General features: G+C 35.8%; 2 long non-coding RNA genes across 8 annotated transcripts in view; one reads left to right on the forward strand and one right to left on the reverse strand.

Moving 5' to 3' along the window:
- Window positions 1-18,980, forward strand: part of LOC102723370 (uncharacterized) — a 366,694-nt gene that overhangs the window by 331,178 nt on the left and 16,536 nt on the right. The window lies entirely within an intron of this gene.
- LOC124902645 (uncharacterized) overlaps window positions 10,812-18,980 on the reverse strand; it is a 74,729-nt gene continuing 66,560 nt past the window's right edge. The window contains exons 3-4 of the long non-coding RNA XR_007062622.1: window positions 13,455-13,569; window positions 10,812-10,970 (exon numbers count right to left, since the gene is read on the reverse strand). This is a non-coding gene — a long non-coding RNA (uncharacterized LOC124902645). The remainder of the gene's footprint in view (window positions 10,971-13,454; window positions 13,570-18,980) is intronic.

Consider the following 18,980-nt stretch of genomic DNA (forward strand, 5'->3'; position numbering starts at 1 on the left):
CCACATATCTCCCTTGAGGTCAATGATATTGACATTTTCTGCCTGATTTGGAGATGTTTTATCCACAGCTACAGTAAATGTGATTTAGTCTCATTCTCCATCTCACTGATAATTCTGACTTTGGCAGAAGCATCTGTCCTGACAGAGAAACAAAGTGAGGAAGAGAACCTGATTCTGAGACCCAAATATGATGTATTATGAAGGGTTCTGCAGTTCAGCTCCAGGTTTTGTTTGTTTGTTTGTTTGGGGGGGATTGTTGTTTGTTTGTTTTTTACCTAGAATGGCATTACTTCTAAAGAAACTTAGAAATAAATTTTACACAGAGTATCAAATCCCACTCAAACTGGTATTTGTCACCACTTTATCTGGCTTACTAAGTAGGCTGTTGAAACAACTGTGCAAACAGTCACAAAAGCTCCCTTGTTTATGGTAACATAGGAAGGTGGAAGAAATGGGAGGGAAAAAATAACAAAATATATCTTAATGAGAAAATGCACAATTTCTTTAAAAATAAGGTGAATTTTATTAGTAGTTAAAAATATATTTAGTAGTTAAAAATTAGTAGTTATTAGTAGTTGAAAATCTACTTAGAATATATAGAAGCAGCCATTGTCTTTTCTCACAAGATGCTTTGGGCATTATAGGACCCCAGTCTTAGTATCATAAATGTGCGTATAGCCCCAAATCCAGATTTGGAAAGAAACACACAGAGTGCTTCAGTCTACCCACCCCTCCCCCATTTATACTGCAGATTTGTTTTATTTTTATAGCCTTTCTTCATTCTTCTGACAGCAGCACACTACTTTTCCTATTAGGAATCATGACTGTGTTCATGTTGTCCTGGTGGAGCTGTCAATTATAGTGACCCTTCTTTTCATCATAGCTTGTGATCATGTGATTCAGGACAGCCAATCAGTGTATTCCATTTCCCTTGTTGCAGTGATTGAGCAAAGAGTGTACACATGGCTCACAGAAGTCCAGGCCTTTCCTGATATTTGACATTTGGAGAGTGAAAAACAACAACAACAAAAAAAGAGTCCGTTTTCTGAATCACAAGCTACAAGGATATAAGCTTGGGCATTTTTTCCTATCATAGAAAGTCTTACTGAGAATGGGACCCACATGCAGAAGGTAGAAATGCTAAAAGATGAAGACAAAAGAAACAGACAACAAATAAAACTCCAATATTATAATTTGTGTCACTGAATCTTGCTATGTAGAATCAAGCTGAACCTAAACTTCCAGATACATAAGCCAATATTTTCTCCTTTTAGTTTCAGGAGTTTAAATTTGACTTCTGTGGTTTTGGGTTAAAACAGTGCCTACTACAATATATAGTAAAATATTTCATGATCATATATAGTAAAATATTTCATGATCATAATCTCTAGGACCATATTGTACCAGTGCAAAACAAATACAAACCAATTTGCTTTTGGTGCTTCTTTTAAATAGAGAATATTATTTAAACAAAACTGTCTGAGAATATGAGACATCGGCCATATTTAAATTGTGTCTGAGTCACTCACAAAAGTTTAATTGCCTTTAAAAGAACATTGAGGACAAACTCTCAGGAGACACACCAGAGACACAGGATGAAGTACTGACCCTCTCATTCCTTAAGGAGTGATTATATTTCTGTTTCAACACCTATGAGCAGTTTTGATTAAATTTCATAAAAGGCTATTTCATTAATTGCATATTTTATGTAAGTGATGGCCATGAAAAATTGCTTTGATGTACAAGTGAGGCAGAGTAATATTTTGAATTGTTAACCAAAGTTTTTTCAAGATGTTTCCCCTCACCTAACCACTTCTCCTAATCAGAGCAACTGGGCGTCTTGTCTTTACTACTGCAGGGATGAGACGACCCAGTAGAATGCCTAATTCAGTTTGTAGCTTCTGAAATGTAAATGACTAGGTAGAATAACTCAGAGAGAACTGAAGAGAGCTGGGAAGTGGGTGAGATTCCTGAGAAGAGGCCCTCAGAAACAGAGTAGAAGTGACTATGTGATACATGCTTGATAAAGCTCCTTGATCCATCCAGCCCCTAGTTGTTCATAGCCTTAGAGTAGGCAGGGAGTGCAGCCAATGGTTTTACACACTCGCGGCAGAAGTTTTGAGGCAGTGGAGAAAGCCAGACCTGGAGCAAATGATAGCACAGCAGCAATCTGTAGGGATTGATGACCCAGGACTGGCACAGATAACTGATGTCACAGAAGATGCCTGCATAGTCAGGTGACAGTCAGGAACCAGACATCACTGTGCCCTGCAACATGGGCTAAGGAATTTAGCCACCATCCTGGGGAAAAGTGGCAGAACCTTAAATAGGTTGACATTTTTGTTCCTGTTGTTAGGTAAAAATTATAGGAAACTATTGTTTTGGACTAAACTCCTGCACTAAGCCCCAACAGATCAGATTTTAAAGAAAAATAGCTTTGAAATGACTAATGAGCTTTTCATTCTCTGCTTCTGCCTTCTTTAGCCCTTCTCTGTCTACAAAGCCACCCTTCTACTCAACTTCTCTGAACACTCATTCTATTTTATAGAATGAAGTGTTGCCCAATTCTACAATTGCGAATAAAGCCAAATGAGATCTTTAAACTAAATTTGTTGTATTTTGGCTTTTTTTTTGACACTTTCTTAAGAACGAGGCCTTGAAATAAAATTATATTGAATTATAGAAAGCAAAAGTTACATTTCTTCAGCACTAGTGTGACTGGGTAGACAAAGAGTCATACTATCAAAATATCTAAAAAAAGTTTTAGGGTAAAATAACCAAAAAAATCTTTCAAAACCTTTTATTCAATATTTGCATTTAAATTTATGAATCACTAAGCTTAACATTTTGTGTTAATGAAGTTCGTTGCAGGCAGTCAGCACTTATTCCACATGTGCTGTGGCCTCCACACACCCTGCATTTCATCAGCTTGTGCCTAGGGATATTTCCTCTTCACCTTAACAAATACTCATCTACCATAGGCCAGGCATTATATAAAAGTGAACTGTTAATTACAAGGAGGGGCTGGGCGTGGTGGCTCATGCCTGTAATCCCAGCACTTTGGGAGGACAAGGTGGGCAGATCACGAGGTCAGGAGATCAAGACCATCCTGGCTAATGTGGTGAAACCCTGTCTCTACTAAAAAATACAAAAAATTAGCCAGGCAAAAAAATTAGCCAGGTGTGGTGGCGGGCTCCTGTAGTTCCAGCTACTTGGGAGGCTGAGTCAGGAGAATGGTGTGAACTCAGGAGGCGGAGCTTGCAGTGAGCCGAGATTGCACCACTGCACTCCAGCCTGGGCAACAGAGCAAGACTCCATCTCAAAAAAAAAAAAAAAAAATGCAAGGAGGGTTGGGCTAAATGAAGATGGCCAACTCAAGCTTTCTAATTAAGACCCTCAACTGCAAACTCACATCCTCTGACAGAGAGTGGACAGAATCCCATCTGTGTGCGAAACAAGACACTGAGAAGTGGGGAAAAGGAATTTCCCATATTAGCATTGCCTAATACAAAGAAAAAAATCTTTTTAAAAATTCAACTATGATGATATTTTCTCTTTTCTTCATTTTAAGAAGGGAATCATATTTATTGAATACAACTCATACATCAGAAAATGTGCTAGGTGCTTTATGTACATTATCTCACTTAATCCTCACAACGGCACTGTCTGGTAGGTTTTAATATCCCCATTTTCAAGTAAAGAAAGTGAAACTCAGAGAGATTTGGCAATTGATCATAAGTGATACCCCTGATCAGGGAAAAATTGAGAATTAAAGTAAAATTAGCATATCTCTAAAGAGTGTGCATTTCAACTATGCCCCACACTTCCCAAATTTGAACCACATTAAAAGGCCCTTGATAGTTTAGTGTTAAATGGAAATTCATTAAACACTGTGGGAGGAGCTGTTTGGGCAATCTCACCCTTGTTATTCCTTTGGCCAAGATTCTCTGACCCTACATATTTATATAACTGAATTTTTTTCATCTTCAGATCTAAGCTAAAATGTCATCTCCTAAAAGAGATGGCCTCTAATGGCCTAATCTAGAGTGAAAAAAAGGGGCCATTCAGTCCCCAGCCTCTGTCACATTAGTGTTGTAGTTCCCCATGTTTGTCATTTCCTGAGATGGTCTTTTTTTCACCTGCTATGTATCTCCTCCTGCTGAAAATTCTCTATATACCCTAAAGGGAAGATTTCTGACTTCCATTCTTGTGCCTATACCCTGATGTCACTCACAGTAGCCATATTATCATGTTCCTCTACTCAGCCTCCTCAAAGTCTTCCTATCTCACTCAGGGTAAAATACGAAGTTGTTACTGAGTTTGGTTTCTGAGAGCCTCTCCTTTTATTCTCCCCAACTCACTCTGTGCCAGCCATGGTTTCTTAAAAGACTTCAGGGTCTGCAAACTGGCAATTCATCTGCCTGGAACAGTATTTGCTCAGATATCCTCATCCCTCATTTATTCACTTTCCCCAAGCCTCTGTTCATTCTGCCTGGTTGTTTAGAATAACAAACGATGGCCGGGCGTGGTGGCTCACATCTGTAATCACAGCACTTTGGGAGGCTAAGGCAGGCAGATCAGGAGGTCAAATTGAGACCATCCTGGCCAAGACGGTGAAACCTCGTCTCTACTAAAAACACAAAAAAATTAGCTGGGTGTGGTGGTGTGTGCCTGTAGTCCCAGTTGCTTGGGAGGCTGAGGCAGGAGATCAATCACTTGAACCTGGAAGGCGGAGGTTGCAGTGAGTTGAGATAGAGCCACTGCACTCAGTTTGGTGACAGAGCGAGAGTCCGTCAAAAAAAAACGAACACAATATATCTTTACTTTTATATTTAACCAAAATTACTTTGCAGGCACCCTTACAAGATGAATTAATTGTTTGAGTCTACTGACCCCCAAGTGTATAAGTTTTTAAAGGAAGAAGTAAAAAATTGCTCATCTTTCTATTTCTAGAAAAGAAGTAGATTTAATCTACCTTTTACTAGTCAAAGATTTAAATAATTTTATTTTTTAACCATTTTACTTTTATTTTTGTAAGCTGGCATTTATTTGTTTCCTTTATTGGTTCATTATTTATTAATTTACTTTTTTATTCAATGTACATATTGTGAGCACCTACTAAGTATTCAGTGGTGGAGATAGAAAAATGAACAAGACCCATTTTCTGTGCTCAAAGACCTCACAAAATCTACTAAGAGATTCCAACAAACTGTTAGGAAGGTCACTGTGACATATGTGCCAACCTAAATAGCCAACAGAGACAGACTCTCTAAAAGAAAATAATGTTTACTTGGGACGAAAGAACTGCAATTAGCATATGTGTACCATAGTAAACTACATACATATTCAGGGAGGTAGAGGAAGACAAATATTTTTAAAGAAAAAAATGAGGAAGATTACGTAATTGTTTTGAAATAATTATCACTGGCTACAAAGTTCAATAACTAGCATGATGCCAGTCTGAGGGTGGAAAGGCAGTTGCTGTGCAGATATCCTTGCAGAAGTACTTTTTGTGTAAAGTTGCAATGATTTTTGTGCAAGACTGTAGTTTTTGCAGTCTTTTGTGATAGCTTTTGTTATCAGGCTCACAAGTGTGAGAGCCCTCTCTTCATAGCCTTCCCCACCTCTATTTCACTATTTGTCAGCGTTGTTTGTTTTTTGTTTGTTTGGTTTAACATTAGTGACTCCATTTTGACTCTGACAATTTTCACAGTTCCCCTTTTGATCAAGATCTTATTTCAAAAGCATCACTAATCAATCATCCTATAGTTAGTTTTTGATGTCTCTTGGTGCCATGATGGACTTGTCCAAGGGGCTGGTCTCATCTCATATTGAAAGGGATTGATTGGAGACTAGGATCCAGGGTCAACCCTTTAGTCCTTTAGGGAGTGGCTCTCAAGCTATGTCTGCGTGGAGTTCACTATTATGTTCAATTTTGTCTGCTCTGTAGTCTTTTGTTATCTTAAAGTGCTGGGCCAACATTATTTTGTTAGGAGTTAGTACTTCCATAGAAATTTAATAAGTAACAGATACAAAATTTAGAAAGGTAAAATAAATGGTAATATGACAATTCAAGTTTGCATAATGATTTTGAGCCATGAACCTAAACTTAAAAGTAACCAATCGAATAAATCAAATGACCACAGGGAATTAGGTAAGACCCATAGTAAGAATATGGTCTGTTTTCTTATTTTATGCAAATGACTCTCAATTTTCCAGAGGAATTTTACCAGGTACAGCATGTAGTATTAGCAATAGCAAAGACATTTTCTTATTTAACCAATAGATACTAAAGAATGTTTAGGTTCTGTTAAGTTGCCAGCAGAATCTGTTGATTGTTAAACTTTACACCATTATCTTACCATGTGAAATAGGGAGGTTAGAGTAGCATTAAGGTAGGTAATAATCCCATTGTGATATGAAGACTTGTTCCAATATCTTGGGAAAAACTGTCTACAGCATGAAAACATCAACTTCTCCTGGTTTTCAGTTTGAATATCTCTAGTCATGATATTCAGTTTGATGATCTTGTGGTGACCACACATCAGGCACAAGTCTTGTTGTTTAAAATGTATCTAGTTTCAACTTACAGGGCTTTAGGATTAGAGCAGTTTTTTGTTACTAGCTGGAGAGTTGTAGCCAAATATTGGATGAAATTAGGATTCAGGATCTAGTCTAGTCTACGGGTAAATAAGAAGAACTTGAAACCTATGAATAAGGCTACAATCTAATAACAAGTATATAATAGTTCATTTTTTCTTCAAAATAATATTTTCACTCTGCATTCATCACATAGGAGTCTCAGATTTTAATACTTCTTGAGGGAAGGAAGTCAAACCAGGGCAGACTTTAGATTTCACTTACATTCTTTAGTTTTCCGGGCCTGCTAGGAAGTGACAGTTTTCCGGGCCTGCCAGGAAGTGACAGTTTCTAATCATTCACTGTGATGCTAGGAACCATTGAAGCCAGTTGTTTCATGCACATCCTCAAATACGATACTTCAGTCAAAGCCTTGGTAATGTAACCACTGTTTTCAATTCTATCCTTCTATAAAGAGAGAGCAGATTTTTGTTGAACTTATGCAAGTAACTACATTATCATTAAAAATATTATGAATATTTTTCAATTTTTGGAGGAATTGAGCAGGGAAAATTGAGGTTTTGGGATTCGGACTTGCTTCCTTGCCCCTCAGCTTGCAGACAGTCTATTGTGGGACTTCACCTTGTGATCATGTGAGTCAATACTGCTTAAAAATCTCCCTCTCATATATACATCCATCCTCTTAGTCCTGTCCCTCTAAAGAACCCTGACTATTACAGAGAAAAAGTAAATACTTCCATTTTTTTTCACAAAAGTATACTTTACCAAAGTGTTGTAAACTATGTTGTAAAGCTTAAGTGTTGTAAAGCTTAAGAGATAACTTTTTTAAAAATCTTGAAAATATTTAAGTGAATAATCATTGTTTTACATAAAAATCATAAAAACATTAGCTTTGTCAATTACTTAATTTCATGTAACTAAATTTTTACTGCCTGATCTTGATGATCACTTCTATAAACTCATACATTTCTTCTTTGGAATTCTGGAAATTTTTGTTCAGTCCATTGATCTTAAAGTTATCAGAAGTCTGTGTTCCAGGGTACTTCTTAGAGACTTTTTCTTGAAAAGCAATTTTGAGCTGTAGCTGATTACATATGCTATTAGAGAATAATTTAAAACAATAACTGTGGATGACAAAAACTTAAAATAACCATGGTTAAAAGTCTGATGAAAATTCAAAGTTGACAAGGAAATGTAGTTATTACATGCAGCATTTTAAAATATCAACCAGAATCATGACTGACAGCATCAAATTAGTACCATCGCACTTTTATAAATTTTATATATGCTTTAGAGTACTTAAATTCATAACATATCCATTAAAATAAAACTTTAGAAAATATTTCAGAAAACCAAAATTATGGCATAACATATCAAATTTTTACAAATTTATATAATTTTTAAACAGTTATACCAAGAATACACCAATAAATATAACTGAAAGAAGATCTAGTATCACATCATTTGACAATGCTTTTCATACAATTTGCCAAATAAGCCTTATCATTTAATATATCTACGAGATGAGAGATATATTCTTTGAGGCTCTACAGAAGCCCAACTGTAAAATTGCAAAGTTAGTTGTAGGTGTCAAAAAAGCCTTAATTTAGGATTTTGATCCTGGGGAAACCTGTCAAAGATGTCAAAAAGTACAAAACACTTGATAAAAACAGAATTAAAGGTCCCTGTAAAATAATAGTCATTCATTTAACCAGAATGATAATCAGAGATCTTCAAAAGCAATACAGAAAATTAAATGAATATAAAATCCTTAACCTTTTTAAAAGGTCAATTTTCCTAAGTAAAGAAAAACACCCTAATAAAGTCAACACAGGGCCAGGTGCAGTGGCTCCTGCCTATAAATTCCCAGCACTCTGGGAGGCCAAGACACGAGGATTGCTTAAGGCCAAGCGTTAGGGACTAGCCTGGGCAACTCTAAGACCCTGTTTCTAAAAACTTTTTTCGTTAAAAATTATCCAAGTATGGTGGCACATGCCTGTAGTCCCAGCTACTCAGGAGGCTGAGGTGGGAGAATCACTTGAGCTCAGGATTTTGAGGCTGCAGTGAACTGTGATTGCACCACTGCACTCCCGCTAGGCAACAGAATGAGACCCTGTCTCTAAGGAGGAAAAAAAAAAGATAACACAGGAAATTCTCTTAATAGAATTTAAAATCTTTGTTTTTGTCGTCGTTGTTGTTGTTGTTTCTTGAGATGGAGTCTTGCTCTATCGCCCAGGCTGGAGTGCAGTGGCATGGTCTTGGCTCACTGCAACCTCTGCCTCTTGAGTTCAAGCAATTCTTCTACCTCAGCCTCCTGAGTAGCTGGGACTACAGGTGTGCGCCACCACACCCGGCTAATTTTTGTATTTTTAGTAGAGATGGGGTTTCACCATATTGGCCAGGCTGGTCTCAAACTCCTGACCTCGTGATCCGCCCTCCTCGGCCTCCCAAAAAATCTTTGTTTTTTAGGTTAGTTGCCAAAAAGTTAAAGAAAAATGTTCTGCAGCATGATTGTTTCTCGGGAAGCCCATTTAGATAACCTGGAAATCAATCTTGATGGAAGGGTAATTAAATTTAATCAGACACAGAAAGAATGTGTTCAGGATTATGAGTACATTGTATTACAGAGGAATGTAAACAATAAAACTTGTACATTGAGCAGGGGAATACATGGATTTTACTAACAGTATGGGAAGTTTCCTGGTTACGTGGAACAATTCAGATACATCAAGAAAACCCAAGAGCACAGAATCAAGTTACACTAGAGAAAAACTTTGCTTTTCTAAGTCTTTGAGAAAAATATTTCAATGTCAGGCAACAAACTCAGAGTTAAAACTGAGGAGAAAAAAAGTTAAAGGGGATGACAAAAATGTTAAAAGAAAGAGTGGGCAGCCTAGCCTAGCAAAAGGATATAGCTTTATAAGGGAAGAAAGGAGAGCCGAAGGCAAAGATGATACATGACCTGCAAATCTCATGCAGAAGATACAGGAAAGGTTGAATTCTGACATATAAATATGAGAAGTTTAAAAAAATAATTTTACCTGGAGAAATGAAATGGCCATTCTGAATAAAAAAGACAGCATTTCAAATCTGAAAGTAGTAAAATTAAATATATCTCAGCAAGAAATGCAACAGAAATAGAAACTGTCTGTAGTTTAGAAGATGGCTGGTGGCCGGGCGTGGTGGCTCACGCCTGTAATCCCAGCACTTTAAGAGGCTGAGGCAGGCGGATCACCTGTGGTCAGGCATTCAAGACCAGCATGGCAAACATGGCAAAAACCCATCTCTACTAAAAAAAAAAAACAAAAATTAGCCATGCATGGTGGCATGTGCCTGTAATCCCAGCTACTTGGGAGGCTGAAGCAGGAGAATCTCTTAAACCCAGGAGGCAGAGGTTGCAATGAGCCGAGATGGCGCCACTGCACTCCAGCCTGGGCAACAAGTGAGACTCTGCCTCAAAAACAAAAAAAGAAGGTGGCTGTTAAAGAAACAGATTTCAGAATCAAAAATCAAAATGAATTGCAACTATTCTAAGCATAAATCAATACTTTGTTGTTCCTACATAGGGAACCGAATTTTTAGTTTTGTATGTCTTTTTTTCAATATTGACTCTTCTTTAAAAATTATTATAATTTTTTTAATTATAACCAATTTGATCACACACAAAATTCTTTTTATAAATACCCCCTTCACAAACCTTACCAAAACTCACAATATTTATGATATTCTTGGACTCTCTGCTCTGTCCTGTACTTCCTCCTTCTTAAATAACCAGTCATTTTACTTTAGGACAAAAATTTTCTACCCAAGGTTTTTTCTCATACAAAATTATTCTCTTTTCTTCTTAACCTTCCTTGCAATCAGAAGATTTTTTAGAAACACACAACAAAAAATTCCAAACCAAATCCAAAGAAATCAAGTATTCACAGAAATCTTAATGCAGGCACGCAGATTGAAAAAAATATTAAACTAAACCTGTGGCCCGAAAGTGAATTCACCAGAAAAGACATGCCTCATGAACAGAAAGTAGATTTTGTAGAAGTAAGAGCACTCAATCCAGAAAGACATGTGTCTTTACACCAGAAAGGACTTACCGGAAAAGACAGAAACACTTTTATCACCTCAGGAGGGACATATGGTCTTTTATTAAAGTGGCTTTACCAGATCCAGATTCCAAATATAGTCAAGAGCTACTACCAAAAAGAGGGAGGCTCAGCCTTAGAGAATACTCACCAGAACAGAAAAGGTGAGTCGTGAAAGCAGAGAGCTCAAAGGGCTCAAGTGAGTATTGCATACTGGTTCTAAGAATCGCCAGTTTCTTTCAATGGGTGATCTTTTTCATGTTCACTTTTGTGACCATATACATCAACCTACGTAACAAACAGAGAAAGAAAAAGATGTTGAGGGAATAGAGCATTGCAATGAAAATACGCATGCTGTAGTAAACTATGTGTGTATTCAGGGAGGTAAAGAAAGACAAATCCTTTTAAGGAAAAAAATAAAGAATACACAATTGTTTTAAAATAATTTTCATTTGCTACAAAGATTAATAACAAGGGTCACGCCAGTCTGAGTCTGGACAGGTAGTTGCTGTGCAGATGTCTTTGCAGAATAATTTTTCATGTAAGATTGTGATGGCCTTTGTGTATGGTTGTGGTTTTTGCAGACTCTTTTGTGATAGTTTTATCAAACATACAAGCATGAGAACCCTTTCTTCAAAGCCTTCCCTGGCTCTATTTGTCAAGGTTTTTTTGTTTTAACATTAGTGACTCCATTTTGATTTGAACAACTTTTACATGTACCACCTCATCATTTCCATGGAGAAGCTCTCCATTAAACTATTACAGAAATTCATTCTCAGCATTAAAAAAATAAAAGGAGAATTCTGGAATTTAATTTTTAAAGGGTCAGTATAATAAAAGACACACTATACACTGGTGAAATTTAGTGTTCCTACAAAACATATGTTCATTTTTACATTTCTAAGTATCTTAGTAATAAAAAGGAGTTTTAGTATGTTCCATACTTTTCTTATTTCAGTGTTTAATGTCCAGCGAACTTGTTACATAATTGATATCTATGATGAAATAGAGGGGAAAGAGTAGAAGATGGGCAAGAGCCACATCTGATATTTGTTTGTGACACTATATAGACAAATGGTAACATCTGCTGATTCCTGCTCCAGCCCTCTTTCCCTCGGCCCAACAATTCTTCCTGGGTATGGAGAATTAAGAGAGAATACGAGGAATTCAGAATAAATCATGGGAAACACTGGCACTAAATTTTCATTCAATCATGATATTTTTGTGACCAAACAGTTGCATTGAATGTCAGTGGAGAAGGACTACAAGTAGAGTGCCTTCAGAAATCCAATTTGTTCCTGGGTGCACTGGGGTTTGGATACATAAAAGAGGCAACATTTGGTTCTATTGTGGTAGATGAGGTAATAACCTTAAAGGATTCTAAACTATGGCAGGTCTGTAAAATGACTTTATTGTCATAAATGATGTCTAATGATGGTAAATTTCTTTCGATGTTTTGACAATCAGTTTAAAGAAATGTTAAAGTTTGAAAATTAGAGTTATATTAAACATCATCTCTATTGTGAGATTTAATTTAAACTGAGTGTGTAGACACAATACAAACATCCAAATAAAAGGACATTGTGGCCAAGTGCAGTTGCTCACGCCTGTAATCCCAGCACTTTGGGAGGTCGAGGCAGGCAGGTCACTTGAGGCCAGGACTTTGAGACCATCCCAGCCAACATGGTGAAACCCCATCTCTACAAAAAATACAAAAATTAGCCAGGCATGGTGGCACACACCTGTAATCCCAGCTACTTGAGAGGCTGAGGCAGGAGAATTGTTTGAACCTGGAGGCAGAGGGGGCAGTGAGCTGAGATAGTGCCACTGAACTCCAACCTGGGCCACAGAGCAAGATTCCATCTCAAAAAAAAAAGAAAGAAAAATCACTTTGTACACATGAAGAGGACAGTTATTGATTAGCCTGTTGGTGTAGTCAGTATAAAATGGCAAACAAGATTTCATTCTTGGAATTAAATTCTTACTTTGATCTATAGTGTTCAAATCAACTGCATAATTGCTGAGTCTTGACTATGAAGCAGAGCCAAGCATACAATTGAAACAATTGTCAGATAATTTAAGTTTTAAAGAGACACACATGCACTTTAGTCTAAAATAATCAGGGCTATCGAATCTAAATATTCTGTATAAATAAAGTAATTATCTCTTTCACAGGCAACCAGAATAAAGTAAAGTTTTTGTGATTATTCTGGTACGGTGACCCACATAGACATTCAAAACAGTCATGACCTCAACAATGTATAAACAGGGTTCCCTAACTCTATTGTCTTTCAGATCTGGAACATGTGCTTTAAATCTCAGAAATTCAGTTTGGGTATTAAGATGTTAAGATTTTTCCCTATGCCCATTTTAACTTTTTTTCTAAATGGGTTTAATCTTGTGATTAAACATGAACAATGAGAGGAGCTTACTGATCCTTTTCATTGCATTTTTTTGGAGAGCATTGTTTTGTTTTGTTGCTGTTGTTAGTTTGGGTATTTTTAAAATAAGAGTAAGGTCATATTGGAATTAAATTTAGTATTTATATTGGCTTTGAAATGCATATTTGCAAAAGTATATTAAATATCAAGTATCTTAACTGCACATCATCTTCCAACCCAATTACACTCTACCCATTTCAGGGAAAAACAACTCCTTGTTTTTGAACCGCAACAGCATAACGACTATGCTGCTATATTGCCCAATTTCTGCTTTAGGTTATTATTCCAGGGGAAGTAATGGAACACATGCTGAGTCAATGAGAGCCCTTACCTGGGATTTTTTTTGAATTCAGAAAAAGTAATAGCTCTTGGCCGGAGAAAGTGAAACAACTGGAAACTCTGCTGTTGTTAGTGGTCAAGTCAATTGCCACACTGGAAGAACCCATCTGCAGTCAGAGAAAACAGAGTTAAGCTAGTTTTAAGAAGAGAGGAAGACGAGAGAATCCTGGTAGTAATTTAGGCCCAGCTGTATTCCTTCCCTCACTGCAGTTGTGTGTTGCTTCTTTGAGCCAACAAATTTCCACTTTAGGCCAAGCTTGACTTAGGTGTCTCAATTAAACTAATATAAATTGGCATGTAATATCTGATTATTTATCAAAACCAACACAAACAAAAAACACCATAATTATTACAACATGGAAATCATTCAAATCACATTTCAATTTATTCCACTGCTTGCATATAAACAAGATGAATTATATTACATAACCACCCCTCCCCATAAAAACGGCTGTTTAATTCTTTTCACCTGATTGAGTTAAAGTTAAATTATATAATTAAAATTTTCAAAATACTGTAGCTTGAACTCTTCATAGACTTAAATCTGCAAAGGTTTAAAATTCGGGGCGGGGTGGGGGGTGGAATGTGAATGTTAAGCTTATTTTTACCTCAGCGAGCTTTGTTGTATTTTAACTTGCTCTACCTCCCTCCCTGGCTCCCCTGGGCAGCCTTGTAAAGTACTAGTGTCCACTCTTGATAACAAAGGGAGCAGAATAAAGCTAGAACTCTTTCAAAGCCCCATTTCCAAAGAATTATCATTTTACCTTTCAGATGGTTCCCTAGAAGATCTAACATGAAAAGCTTGTCTTTATATGGCCTGAATCAAAGCTCACCTAGTGCTAATAACCTCATCCTAAAGGGGCATTTATCAAAAACATCTGCATGCAAGCATTTAATATTGCAGCTACCTTAGATGATAGGTAAGAATTGGGGTGAACAATGGACTAATCATAAGGCTTAAAAAGAAAATCTGAGGAAAGAGATTTTCTAAAGGGATTTAGAAAGCTCCAATACTCCTAGGAATCTAGAAGGCCATGCATATTCTTAGGGCCGTGCACATGCTCAAGAAAAACCAAAAAAAAAAAAAAAATCCCTAAACTCTCAATTCTGGCTGACTTTGGGGCTCTGTAAAAGCTAAAGCAGCATGGTAAACAGCCTGACTAAATGACAAGAATAGGGTCCTATTGATAGTAGGTTTGGTACTTACGTTGGCATTTAAATAGATATTTGTAAATAATAGTGAAGGCCTCAACACATCTAAAGCCCATCAGCAAAGACTAGAAGATTTATTAGTTTCAGGCATTTAAGGAAACTTCTGTCCAATCATTAGATGACCACTAAGCTAGCTGAGTCTAGACTCAATGACTACACATGACAAAGAATACGGACTTCACAAAATTAGTTCAGAAATTTACCAAACAAACACACAACTAGTACTACAACAAGCAGCAACAACAACAGAAAAAGAGAGAATTTGATTCCCAGAATTGCTATATTATATTATTTTAAGTGTCCAGTTTTCAACAAAAAATTATAAGACATGCAAAGAAACAAGAAAGGGGGAAGAAATTAACAAATAGAAAATATCCCTGAGGAAGCTTAGATATTGAACTTATTAGGCAAGAAACTTAAATTAGCCTTTTACATTATGTTCAAATAGCTAAAGGAAACTATGTCTAAAGACATAGTATTATGTCTCCACAAATATAAAATATAGATTAAATGATAAAAATATAAAATAGAATAAAGTAGAAAATCTGGAATTGAAAACCATAATAGCTGAAATAAAAAATTTATACCACAGGGGCACCAAAGCAGATTAAGCACACAGAATAAACAATCAGAGATCTCAAAGACAGGTCAATCAAGATTATTCTATCTGAATAACAGGAACAAAAGAACAAAAAAGTTATCAAGGCCTGAAAGACATGTGAAACACCATTAATCATACCTATATATGCATAATGGGAATCCTAGAAAGAGAGAAAAAGGAGCAGGAAGAATATTTGAAGAAATTATGGCCAAAACTTCTAAAATTTGATAAAAATTGCTAGCCTATGCATTTGAGAAGGTCCAGGAACTCCTAGTAGGATAAAATAAAGGAAATCTACCTCTATACCCCTTATAATTTAATTGTTGAAAGTCAAAGACTACGAGAAATTTTGAAAGCAGCAAGAGAGAAGAAACTCATTATGTTTAAGGAATCCTCAACAAAATTGAAAGCTAGGTTCTCAGTAGAGGTAAGGAGATAGTGGGATGACATTTCAAGATGTGAAAAGAAAAATCTATCACACAAGAATTCAATATCTGGCAAACTATCCTTCAGACATGAAGGGGAAATTAAGATATTCCAAAATAAACAAAAACTGAGAGTATTCACTGCTGACAGACCTGCTTTACAAAATATACTAAACTAAAGAGAGTCTTTCAGGATTAAAGGAAAAGACACTGACTGGCAACTGGAATTCACATGAATAAATAAAAAGCCCTGGAAAAGATAAAGATATAGGTAAACATAAAATACAAAATAAATGCAGTGTTTTATTTTTAACCTCTTTTTTTCTCCTTTCTGATTTAAAAGATAAATGCATAAGGCAATAATTATAATTTTATATTGATGGGTACACAATGTATAAAGATGAAATTTGTAAAAATAACAACATAAAGAGTGGGGAGCTATAACTGTTCTATATATAAACAAAGTTTTTGTGCACTATTGAAATTAAGTTGATATTAAACCAAATTGAATTGTTATAAATTAAAATATTAATGTTAATTCCTAGAAAATAACTCAAAAATATATAGTAAAATGTACAACATAAAATTTGCAAGTAAACTAAAATGGTACACTAGAAAGATCTCTATATTACAAGTTAGGTAATTGCAAATGAGTAAAAGAGCACCACTCAACGGTCTGATCTAGAAGAGACTCACTTTATACTCAAAGACACAAACCCAAAGCAAACAGAAGGAAGAAAAGATTAGTAAAGAAATAAATGAAATAGAAATTAGAAAAACAAGAAAAATCAATAAAACTTAAAGTTAATTATTTGAAAAAAATCATCAAAATTTAGAAACCTTTAGCTAGACCAACCATAGAAAAAAGGACAGAAGATTCACATTTCTAAAATCAGGAATAAAAGAAGTGATATTGCTACTAATCTTAAAGAAACAAAAAGGGTGATTAAAAAAATACCATGAGCAATTGCGTGACAACAAATTGAATGACCTAGATGAGTTGGATAAATTCCCAGAAAGACGAAAATTTACCAAGATTTAGTCAAGAGAAAATAGAAAATCTGGATATACCTATTGAAATAGAAAATCTGGATATGCCTATTGTAAGTAAAAAGACTGAGAGAGTAATTTTTTAAAAACCTCCACAAAGAAAAACCAAGAAAAAGATGGCTTCACTGGTGAGTTCTACCAGATGTTTGCAGATGAATTAACACCAATCCTTCACAAACTTGTCAAAAAATAGAAAGGGAGGGTACATTTCCAAACACATTCTAGGAGGCCAGGATTTTTACCTGATAGCAAACCAGACAGAGCCATCACAAAACAGAAAAAATACAGAATACCCTTTATGAATGAAGATGGAAAAACTAGAAAGAAAGCACTAACAAACTGAAACCAGCAGTACATAAAAAAAGATTATATACCAGATTTATTCCAGAATCCAAAGTAAGCACAACATACAAAAGCTAATCAATTTATACCCAAAAATGATAACAAGGGGAGAGAGGAACACGTTCATCTCAATAAACACAGAAAAAGTATTTGACAAAATCCAATCCTCTTTCTTAATAAAAGCACTCAATAAACTAGGAATAGAAGAGAATTTTCTCAACATTTTAAAGTGAATCTATGCAAAACCCACAATTAATGTTATACTTAATGGAGGTCAGGCACAATGGCTCATGCCTACAATCCTAGCACTTTGGGAGGCTGAGGCAGGAGGATAGTTTGAGTCCAGGAGTTTGAGGTTACATTGAACTATGATCATGCCTCTGCACTCCAGCCTGGGTGACAGAGCAAAACTTGTCTCTAAAAATAAGTAAATAGAATTAAAATTAATTATATTTAAAGATAAAAGACTAAATGCTTTCCTTCTAAGATCAGGAACATGACAAGGATCACAACAAGGATTCTGCTGTCACCACTTGAAGTCAGGGTAATATGGAGGACAATTAGGCAAGAAAATGAAATAAAATGCATCCGGATTGGAAAAAATATACGTAAAAGTACCTCTATTGGCTGATGAGATGATCTTATATTTAAAAAATCCTAAAGAATCTGCACTCCCAAAAAACTCTATGAAAGCTAATAAATGATTCAGCAAGTATGCACAAAAAGATCAAGAAAAAAATCAGTTGCATTTCTCTACATTATCCATAAACAATCCAAATATGACATTAAGAAAAAAATTCTTGTACAATAATATCAAAAAAAGATACTTAGAAATAAGTGTAATCAACGAGGTGCAAGACATTTACACTGAACACTACAAAACACTGTTGAAATCAAGAAGACCTAATGAAATAGATGTCCTAAGTTCATGGATTAGAAGATTTACAGTTCTTTAGATGGCACTTTTTTCTAAATAGACCTATAGATTCATTGCAATCCCCATCAAAATTCCAACAACGTTTAAAAGTTATTTTTAGAAATGGACAAGCTCATTCTTTTATTTATTTATTTATTTTTCCAGATGGAGTCTCACTCTGTCGCCCAGGCTGGAGTGCAGTGGCGCGATCTGGGCTCACTGCAACCTCCACCTCCTGTGTTCAAGCAGTTTTCCTGCCTTACCTCCCGAGTAGCTGGGACTACAGATGCCCGCCACCACACCCGGCTGATTTTTGTATTTTTAGTAGAAACAGAGTTTCACCGTGTTGGCCAGGCTGGTCTCAAACTCCTGACCTCAGGTGATCCACCTGCCTCAGCCTCCCAAAGTGCTGGGATTACAAGTGTGAGCCACTGCACCCAGCCCTCATTTTTAAATTCATATCAAAATGCAAGGGAGGCAGAATAGACAAAACAATATTGAAAAAGCAGAAAACAGTTGGAGGACTCAAACTTTCCCATTTCAAAACTTATTATAAAGCTACTGTAATAAGTAGACTGTGATTACTAGGATAAGGATAGACTTGAAGATCAATGGAATAGAATTGAGACTTCAGAAATAACAATATATGTATAGTCAATTGATTTTTTACAAAGATGGCAGGACCATTCAATGGGGAAAAAGATAGATTTTTTTTTAACAAATGATGCTGAAACAACTATCATCCACATGCAAAGGAATGAATTTGAATAACTACATCATACCATATACAAAAATTAACTCAGATTATATCAAAGACATAAACATAAAATCTAAAACTATAAAGCTTCTAGAAGTATCCCATTTAATCTTCAAAATACCCTTTATAGATCAGTCTTATTATTTTCATCCCCATTTCACACTTAGGGAAATGAAAGCTTTTCACAGTTACTGAAAGTAAGAATTCCAAATGAG

The sequence above is a fragment of the Homo sapiens genome, chromosome 11 (assembly GCF_000001405.40).
Source record: "Homo sapiens chromosome 11, GRCh38.p14 Primary Assembly".
Classification (NCBI taxonomy): domain Eukaryota; kingdom Metazoa; phylum Chordata; class Mammalia; order Primates; family Hominidae; genus Homo; species Homo sapiens.